This window comes from Homo sapiens, chromosome X, assembly GCF_000001405.40.
Source record: "Homo sapiens chromosome X, GRCh38.p14 Primary Assembly".
NCBI classification, from domain to species: domain Eukaryota; kingdom Metazoa; phylum Chordata; class Mammalia; order Primates; family Hominidae; genus Homo; species Homo sapiens.
This window is the reverse complement of record NC_000023.11, coordinates 48,422,483-48,433,200: the sequence shown is the minus strand read 5'-3', so window position 1 is coordinate 48,433,200 and position 10,718 is coordinate 48,422,483.

The window sequence follows — 10,718 nt, the reverse complement described above, 5'->3', positions numbered from 1 at the left end:
GATCCCATATAAGCTTGTAGACAGCTGCTGGGAGAATAAATGTAAAAACATAGGGAGGGGAGAAAACACTGTGGGGAAAGATGGTGTGGGGAGATGAATACAGGGATGGGAGAGGTAAAGAAATGGTTTGCTGAAATTAAACTAGGCAGCAAAGAAAGCAGTACCAGATCTGGCATACCACCCTACCGAGGCATCAACATTGAATGTGGAATTAAGTGAGATGGTACCCATACCAATTCTGGTTGCATTGGGATATGTCACTGACCAACAATCTTAAGCTAGTTTTTTTTTTTTTTTCTTCTTTTTTGAGATGGAGTCTTGCTCTGTCGCCAGGCTGGAGTGCAGTGGCACGATCTTGGCTCACTGCAACATCCGACTCCTGTATTTAAGTGATTCTTCTGCCTCAGTCTCCAGAGTACCTGGGACTACAGGCAGGTGCTGCCACGCCAGGCTAAGTTTTGTATTTTTAGTAGAGACGAGGTTTCACCATGTTGGGCAGGATGGTCTCGATCTCTTGACCTCGTGATCTGCCCACCTCAGCCTCCCAAAGTGCTGGGATTACAGTTGTGAGACACCGCGCCCGGCCCTTAAGCTACTTTTTATTCAGCTTCCTCACTTATGAAATAGTGAATAATACATGTAAAATAGGCTAAGGGAAAGTCCTCTCTGAGCTTGTAAACACTGTTTATGTGTAGTAATAATAACAATTAATACCTTTCATGATCCTTCTTTGAATTTGGCCTCCATACTGGCAACCCAATCCCAGATCCCTTTACCCTCTAAACCAGAGTTGAATCTGCACTTGTGGGGTCACTCATTCAGGGGCCTCCGAGGATCCCCTGGGCTGGGACTGGGGCTTCTCAGATGCCCCAGGTGCACACAAGGCCATCAAGGAGCTCACAGTAGGGAGGGGCCAACAGTCAAAGCGATTCCTAAGCCATGTGAGTGGCCCCGGTAACAGAGCAGAGGCCAGCTGGTCCTTCCTGTTGCGAGAGTGGGTGTCTCAACGGAAGCACCAGGAGGCCCTATGGGGTGAAGCCCTAGTGAGCAACATCTGAACTTCATAAACAAATGCAAACGTGAATGAGCTTTAAATGGCTTGGAGCTCTGGATTAGACTACCACTGCCACTGTGCCCCAGGAAAATTCTTTAACATCTCTGTACAATGATAGCCTCATTTTATTATTATGCTGCTGATAACTATGATCTAAAACATGTCCAACATGGTGAAACCCTGTCTCTACTAAAAATACAAAAATTAGCCAGGTGTGGTGGTAGGTGCCTGAAATCTCAGCCATGTGGGAGGCTGAGGCAGAAGAATCACTTGAACCCAGGAAGCGGAGGTTGCAGTGAGCTGAGGTCCTGCCGCTGTACTTCAACCTGGGTGTCACAGCAAAACTCCGTCAAAAATGAAAAAAAAAGTAACAACAACAACAACAAAACAATAGAAAGACTGGAGAGAAGGCACTACTTAAAGAAATAACATTCTAGAATTTTCTGAACTGAACAAAGACATGAATCTTCAAACTGAAAAGAGCCATCTAGTTCTGAGCCTGATTAACACACATGTGCACACACACCTGCGTGCACGCACACACACACACACACACCCTTGGAGTAAAATTTCTAGGATAGAGATAAAATCCTGAAAGGTCCCAGAGAGAAAGAGAGAAGAGAGAATGCAATGGAGAAGTTTTTCAAGGAGCTGATTAAAAATAAGTTTGGGCCAGGTGCAGTAGCTCACGCCTGTAGTCTCAGCACTTTGGGAAGCTGAGACGGGAGGATTGCTTGAGCTCAGGAGTTTGAGACCAGCCTGGCCAACACGGCGAAACCCATCTGTACAAAAAATACAACAAGTAGCTAGGTGTGGTGCCACGTGCCTGCAGTCCCAGCTACTTGGAAGGCTGAGGCAGGAGAATCTCTGAGTCCAGGAGGTGGAGATTGCCATGAGCTGAGATGGTGCCACTGCATTCCAGCCTGGGTGACAGAGCCAGGCACTGTCTCAGAACAACAAAACAAAACAAAAACAAACAAACAAAAAAAGTTGAACCTAGATATCTGTATACAGCCAGGATAATCCACAATGAGGGAAAAAATAGTTCAGAAAATTAATGACACATATACCCTTCAGAAATAATTATTGGTATACAGCCCTATGAGAAAAGAAAAGTAAATTTAAGAGGAAGGTGATTTCAATAAGCAATTGTTAGAAGAAAAATAGTAAAATTTATTAAACAGTGTAAACTTTTGATTGTAAACTTAAAAAATTATAGTCTTGAAATAAAATTCCCAGTATTATAAACATGGAAGATGGGACGAGGGACAGGAAAAAAAAAGAGAAGTTCTTTTGTTGTTCAAGGAATGGATACCGACACTAATGAATGATAGAATGGTAGAGTGGCTAAAAGCATTAGCATTTTATTTTGTTTTATTTTAGAGACGGCCTCACTCTGTTGCCCAGGCTAGAGTTCCATAGCACAATCATGGCTCACTGTAGCCCCAGCCTCTTCAGCTCAAGTGATCCTCCTGCCTCAACCTCCCATGTAGCTGGGACTACAGGCGTGCACCACCAAGGCTGGCTAATTAAAAATTTGTTTTTTTGGTAGAGAGAGTGTTTTCCTATGTTGCCCAGGATGATCTTGAACTCTTATCCTCAAGCAATCCTCCCACCTCAGCCTCTCAAAGTGGTGGGATTATAGGAGTGAGTCACTGTGCCCACTTAACGCTAGTATTTTAGAGTGCAAACTCTGGAGCCAGACAGCTTGGGTTCAGTTTCTGGCTTCTCAACTTATTAAGGTATGTGACCTTGTGTAACTCATATAACCTTTCCGTGTTTCAGGCTACTCAAGAGTAAACTGGGGATAACCACACTATCTAACTCACTTGATTGCTATGATTAAATGGGTAAGTACGTGTAAAGCACTTAGAATAGCGCCTGTCATGTGGTTAAGTTAGTATATATCTTTTAGGTGTTGTTAGTAATGACTTCAAATTACTTTTAAAATGTAAAGGCATATCTGGTTCAAGAAGAAGATGGTGAACCAGGAATAGCTGCTGGCTTCCTTCCCAAACCCAACCCTGCAGATGCCACAGAAGAGGTGGGAAGTGGTTGGAGTTCAGAACAGTTCCCAGTAACAAAACCCTTGATGGTTTAGCCCCACTGGGGGATGAGATGGCTTAGAGTGGGAAAGGTCAGAGGCCACAGATGGAGAATCAGCCCAGGCGGAGCTTTCTAAGTTGCATTCTTTTTTTCTCCTTATTTTCTAGAAGGCTTATTACCTGTTCTGTAAACATACAGAGCAGAAACTTGGCAGGGCTGGCCCAGTGCTAGCCCAAAGTGGCCTGATAACATTAAAGAATAAGGGGCTTGGAAAGCTCCTAGAAAAAGTGCAGACTCATCAAAGCTGGTCAGTAACTGAGCATTCCTTTCCTACTTCTCCCTCTGCCCTCTGAGCTACGCAATTACAACCGGTATCACTCACCCGTAGACCCCCTCCACGCTGTAAGGCAGAAATCCTGTAAGGGTCTCTGGGGGCTCATAGGCTAGGGACTGGAAAGAATTGGCTCAGCTCAGCTCTAGAGGCTCCCTATCCTACGACCTATCAATCCAGAAACCCTAAAACTCACATGGAGTGTCTGGGCTTACACATCTTCCCAGGAAGAAAGGGTTATATAGAAAAACTATCTGACAGCCCAGGCAGGGTGGCTCACACCTATAATCCCAGCATTTTGGAAGGCTGTGGTGGGAGGATCACCTGAGGTCAGCAGTTTAAGACCAGCCTGGCCAACATGGTGAAACCCCATCTCTACTAAAAATATAAAAGTAGTTGGGCGTGGTGGTGCACACCTGTAACTCCAGCTACTCAGGAGGCTGGGGCAGGAGAATCACTTGAACCTGGGAGGCGGAGGTTGCAGTGAGCCGAGATCACACCATTGCACTCCAGCCTAGCCAACAAGAGTGAAACTCTGTGTAAAAATAAATAAAGAAAAAAAGGCAAGGTGCGGTGGCTCACGCCTGTAATCCCAGCACTTTGGGAGGCTGAGGCGGGTGGATCACCTGAGGTCAGGAGTTCGAGATCAGCCTGGCCAACAAGGTGCAACCCCGTCTGTACTAAAAATACAAAAATTAACCTGGCATAGTGTCACATGCCTGTGGTTCCAGCTACTCAAGAGGCTGAGGCAGGAGAATTGCTTGGACTCGGGAGGCAGAGGTTCAGTGAGCCAAGATCGTGCCACTGCACTCCAGCCTGGGTGACAGAGCAAGACTCTATCTCAAACGAATAAATGAATAAATAAATAAATAAATAAAAAGAAAAACTATTGGATAGATTGGATATGAAAACATTAACTGCTCAAATAAATTATTCGGTGGAATAGATTGGATATTAAAACTGATAGAGTTGAAAAAGCAATTACTGAGCTGAGGAAATGCGTCTAAAGAATTCATGAAAGTAATCGGTAATGGATAGAGAAGAAGTAAATGAAAGAAAAGTTAATTAATAGGGAGGATAGAAGAATAAATGTCAAAACACATCTAATAGTAGCCTTATAAGAAGAGAATATAGTCATTAAAAAGGAGAGTGTACTTAAATAAGTAATCAATGAGAATTCCTCAGATTTAAAAAAATGACTTAAGATTTAAAGGTATTATAGTACACACACAGGAACAGTGAAATGTAAAATTGTGAAAGACAAGGAAAAAATATTTTAAAATGATCGGAGAGAAATAGCAGGTTACTTACAGAGGAAAATACAATGTCAAGCATGTAAGACTTCAGGAGATTGAAGACACAGGGAAATGTTAAAGCAAACAAGTATTTATTGCACTTATTAAAGACTGTAAGGAAGGGTCAGCTGCAGTGGCTCATGCCTGTAATCCCAGAACTTTGGGTGCCCGAGGCAAGAGGATTGGTTGAGCCCAGGAGTTCAAGACCAGCTTGGGCAACATGGTGAAACCCTGTCTCTACAAAAAATAGAAAAATCCGCCGGGCACATCAAGTTCCTGCGTCTGTAGAGAACTGAAAAAAAAAAATACCTGGGTGTGGTGGTGCGTACCTGTAGTTCCAGCTACTTGGGAGGCTGGGGCAGGAAGATTGCTTGGGCCCTGGAATTTCAGGCTGCAGTGAGCTAGGATTGGGTCACTGCCCTCCAGCCTGAGTTACAGAGTGAGACTTTGTCTCTGAAAATAAAAAGAAAAAAAGATCGTAAGGACGATTTTACTCAGAGGGGGGACTACTGTGATAGGTACAGGGACCACTGCAATGGGGTCTTGCAGTGGGAGAGTGATATTGGGATCGACTTCAACTCCACAAGGACAAGTGGGGATTTGTAGTCAGGGAGTAGGAGCCGGGGGTCAGAAGATGGGAAATTACTTGGAGGAAGCCTCAGGTGCAGGGGGATTCTGGCTAAACCGACTTGACAGGTTTTTTGCTGAAAAAGGCTAAATGGGCAGAGTCCCTGGATGAAGGACAGAGCCTGAGGTTGAGACCTAGTCAGAAACAGGACTCAGAGGAGCCCGATTCAAGTTTGGTCAAAGGAGAGTGTCTCTGTCTGAAAGCATAAGCAAGAAAGCCAACAGCAGTAAAATGAATGGGTCACAAAGGAGAATTTTTGTGCATTGCTAAGCAGGGCTCTGCTTTAACCATTGTGAAAGAAGTGAGTCATTCTTTTTTTTTTTTAGATGAAGTCTCGCTGTGTCACCCAGGCTGGAGTGCAGTGCGTGATCTCGGCTCACTGAAACCTCAGCTTCCTGGGTTGAAGCGATTCTCCTGCTTCAGCCTCCCGAGTAGCTGGGACTACAGTCACGTGCCTCACACCGGACTAATTTTGTATTTTTACTAGAGACAGGGTTTTACCATGTCGACCAGGCTGGTCTCGAACTCCTGACCTCAAGCCATCTGCCCGCCTTGGCCTCCCAAAGTGCTGAGATTTCAGGCGTGTGCCACTGAAACCCACCTGAATTGAGTCATTTTCCACATACACAACTAGGTCAGAGTTGAGTGGCCAGGGGAGAAACCAATCAGGGCACATTGCACCTGCTCCAAGAATTGAATTTTCCACAAAGCTGGTGGCTGAAATGGCCTGCTGCCACCCTAAGAGCACTTTTACCTAGTAACTGCTGAAACAACCTGCAATGACTCTAAGGCTTGTTTTACCTATTGTCCACACTCACCAATCAGAGCTTCCAGCTCCTGAAAGCTTCTCTGGTGCCAAGGGACTTGCTTTAAAAACTATAGGTAACATTTCTGTTTCTAATAAAACTCTCAACTTTCTCGTTGTTCTTTGGACATACCAAAGACCAGCCAGTTTGTGTGTATGCTTCAGATTACAATTCTATGATTCTCAAATAAAATGTTTAGAGATTCATGGGCGTGGTGGATCATGCCTGTAATCCCAGCCGTTTGGGAGGCTGAGGCCGGCGGATCACTTCAGCCCAGGGGTTCGTGACCTGCCTGGGCAACATGGTGAAATCCTGTCTCTACAAAAATTACAAAAAATTAGCTGGATGTGGTGGTGCATGCCTGTAATCCCAGTTATTCCAGAGGCTGAGTCGGGGAGGCAGAGGTTGCAGTGAGCCGAGATTGTGCCACTGCACTCCGGGGTGGGCGACAGAGTGAGACCCTGTCTTAAAAAACAAAAACAAAAACCATAATATAACATCCTTAATATTGCGATTTAAAAAAGAGATTCATCTCCATAGGTTTTGACTTTGATATTTGTGGTGTCAGAAATCGGGTCCGAAGCTGACTCACCTTGGAGATATCAATGACCTCTGGAACTATGGCGTGAGGTCTGCACACTTGGTCCCCTTGAGCTTTTGCTTTTCTGGTTGCCTCTTTCCCCCCGGTGAGACTTTCTTGGATCAAACTGCCATTTGTCGGGGAGTTGAGTTCAGTTTTATTTGGGAATTTGTTAGGAAGGGTCTTTCTCTGTCTCCTGGTTATGAAACCTCCTCTTTTCTTTTCCTTTCTTTTCTTGTCTTGTCTTTTTTATCTTGTCTTTCTCTTTTCTTTCTTTTTTTTTTTTTTTTTGAGACAGTGTTTTGCTCTGTCGCACAGGCTGCAGTGCAGTGGTGTGATCTGGGCTCACTGCAACCTTCACCTCCCAGGCTCAAGTGATTCTCGTGCATCGTCCTCCCGAGTAACTGGGATTACAGGTGTGCGCCACTACGCCTGGATAATTTTTGTGTTTTTTAGTAGACATGTGGTTTCACCCTGTTAGCCAGGCTGGTCTTGAAGTCCTGAGCTCAAGTGATCTGCCCGCCTCGGCCTCCCAAAGTGCTGGGATTATAGGCGTGAGCCACTACACCCAGCCAGAGACGGCCTGTTTAAGAGGGATTTTCTCCCTCCTGGTTATGAGGCCGGGTTACAGAGATTTTTCTGTTAGAGAAGGCTTCTCATGCTTCCTGGTAAGTTTGTACTTTATTTTCTGAGTCGTTTGCATGCTTAGAGTTTAATTTGGCTTTTGTGTATTAGGCATTAAACCGAATCACCTAGATTAATTTATTTACACACAGGCTCTCAAAGTTCAAAGGCATGCCAACATAGTTCCCTCTTTCTGGGACGCCAGCTGGTAATATGTGCCAACATTACGGGGATCATTCACGCAGTCTGTTTTCCTCAAACTGAACTAAAATAATACAGTCCAAATGGGACTCCTATCTCAGTTGGTATCTTGAGGCTCCAGAACACATTCAAGACTCAAAGGCTGCCTCACTGCAAGATATTGTCTAAAGCTAGCTGAGATTTTCTTCTCCAACACCTTCCCCTCTCCTTCGTTTACCTCTTCCTCTTTATCCTTCTTTAAGCAAAACTCTTTTTCCAAAACTCCTCAGCTACTCTGGCATACTGACTATTAAAATAAAGACAGTTGAAAGACATCAGATACAAATAAAATAAAATCACTGACCTTTGTAGTGTTTCTTAAAAGCAAAAGATGAAATTCCCATGTAAAAGATCTCCTTCCTATACTAAAAGGAAAGACAACACTCTTATCTTCAAGGATGAGGAATTGAGACCAAGAGAACATTATACAAAGCTTATTGGAATACCTCTTATCTTTTGGGCCTCCTCACATAATTCAGTCACATTTTTACAGTTAACAATTCTTTGTCTAATTCAACATGTTGGTAACTGACTCAAACTGCTTTACCCAAAATTTGGGTCACCACCTTCATAAGATTACCTATTGAGGAGAAAAATCTTAAATAAAGTTTAGCCTTCTTCCATTTTGTCAGAAATATAATTTAGATCCAACGTCTTTTATAAATCGGTGAGTTTGTATGGTTTACTGTCCCATAATCAAAATTCTAAAATGAAAGTTATCTTTGTTTATGTACGTATCTGTGTTTGGGCGTATTCCTGCGTATGTACATGTGTTATGTTAAATGTGTCTACATGGTAAAATCCGGAATCGTTGGCAAACAATTATTTAAAGAATCCTATTCAGATTGGCTTAAATAGGTACTCATATAAATACACAGTAATTAACTAAAACGCATTTAGTTCATGCAACTTAATTAAGTAGTTGAAAAATAAGCTGGTTTTAAAATTGTTGGTAAAATAAAATGAGAAATGTTTTCAAAATTGTGACCACACCTTTTTGGCTGGGTTTACTGGTTCTATATTTGTCTCTGTTGGATGTGTTAAGGTTATGAAACATAAACCTAACCTAAAAACAGAATGGTCTTTTATGTGCAATTCTTTGATAAGTAAGACTAATTTAATATTGTGAGTGTAATAAAACAGCTGTATTTTCTGAGTTATTGGCAAAATACTCATATATTTAAGGTTTTTGCTCGGGTGGATACCTGACATTTACAGGCTATAATAATGTTTTAATAGGAGAATAACTCCAAATGACTAGCTTTATTTATTTATTTATTTATTTTTAAAATTTTTTTTAGAGCAGAGTCTCCCTCTGTTGCCCAGGCTGGAGTGCAGTGGTGCTATCTCGGCTCGCTGCAACCTCTGCCTCCCAGGGTCAAGAGATTGTCCTGTCTCAGCCTCCCAAGTAGCTGGGACTCTAGGCGTGCGCCCCCATGCCTGGATAATTTTTGTATTTTTTTTTTTTTTTTTTTTTGAGACGGAGTCTCGCTCTTTCGCCCAGGCCAGACTGCGGTGGCCCTATCTCGGCTCACTGCAAACTCCGCCTCCTGGGTTCACACCATTCTCCTGCCTCGGCCTCCCGAGTAGCTGGGACTACAGGCGCCCGCCACCACGCCCACCTAATTTTTTGTATTTTAGTAGAGTTGGGGTTTCACCTTGTTGGCCAGGCTGGTCTTCAACTCCTGACCTCAAGTGATCTGCCCTTCTTGGCCTCCCTAAGTGCTGGGATTACAGGCGTGAGCCACCGACCCCGGCCGACTGGCTTTGTTTAATATGTCAGTTTTCATAAGTAATCTAGGTATAACTGTTAAAATGAATAAATGAGGTAACTGTGAGATACATGTTTATAAGTGAACTTTTCATGTAATTTGAAATGTTTTTTCTCTTGCTCTTACCATATGGAGATGAAATATTAAAGTTGTGTTATGTTAGATTAAGTAATAGGTACTCACTAAATGCTGGGATCATTTCCAACTAAGAAAACAATGGATCCACCTGCCTAGGCCTCCCAAAATGCTGGGATTAGAGGCGTGAGCCACCATGCCCAGTGAGGAAAAGAAGTATTAAACGCTATTGTTATTAAAGAAACCAAAGATCGTGATGCCTGGAAGGTGATTCAAAGACTCGAGATAATGGACTTCTGGCCAAGCCAACCCATGGTGACATCATCAGGTTTGTGCCTCCACTGGTGATCAAGGAGGATGAGATTCGAGAGTCCAGTGAAATCATTAACAAGACCATCTTGTCTTTCTGAGGGTAGCAGCTGTTTTCAGTGGTCCCTGGGAGCCGGCTGGAGACAGGTGGTCTTGTAAAAGCTCTGCTCTAAATGTAGGCACATTCCACTCCCATGTGTCTTCAAAGCCTTTGTGTGGAATATCCATTTTTTTCAGTTGATACACAATAGAACAACGTTTATGAACCTGCCTTTTGCTTCCTAACGTAAGTAAGAGAATGTAATGGCATCTATATTCAGTGAAGGTGTTTTGATGTGCATCTGTACTTTCTAAGGTAAAACGTATCTATGTATACAGAACAGCCTTTAAATCACGTCCTTCAGTATACTTTATATATGTTTTTATAATTTCCTTGCTGGTATAAATGTTTTGTATTTGAAAAAGTTATCTATGGAGTATTACATAAAAGACTTCACCTTGTAAAGTCAAATCACTGTTATCATTGAATTTTAGGAAGGATGAATGGTTAGTCATATGTAAAATACTAATATTAAGTAAACTTCATATTGGCGAACACCAGAATGTATTCTATGGTTGTCATTATTTTGAATTAAGAATTAGTGTTTAAAATTCCTAAATTGTTTTGAGTGCTTGATTATAATTTGTAAAAAACGTTTATTTTTAATATTTCTTTAAATTTAAAATAAAGCTTATATTTCAGAAAAAAAAAAAGATACAGAACATGGCCAGGTGCAGTGGTTCACGCCTGTAATCCCAGCACATTGGTAGGCCAAGGTAGGCAGATCACTTGAGGTCAGGAGTTCGAGACCAGCCTGACAAGATGGTGAAACCTCGTCTCTACTAAAAATACAAAAGTTAGCCAGGCGTGGTGGCACGTGCCTGTATACCCAGCTACATGGGAGTCTGAGACAGGTGA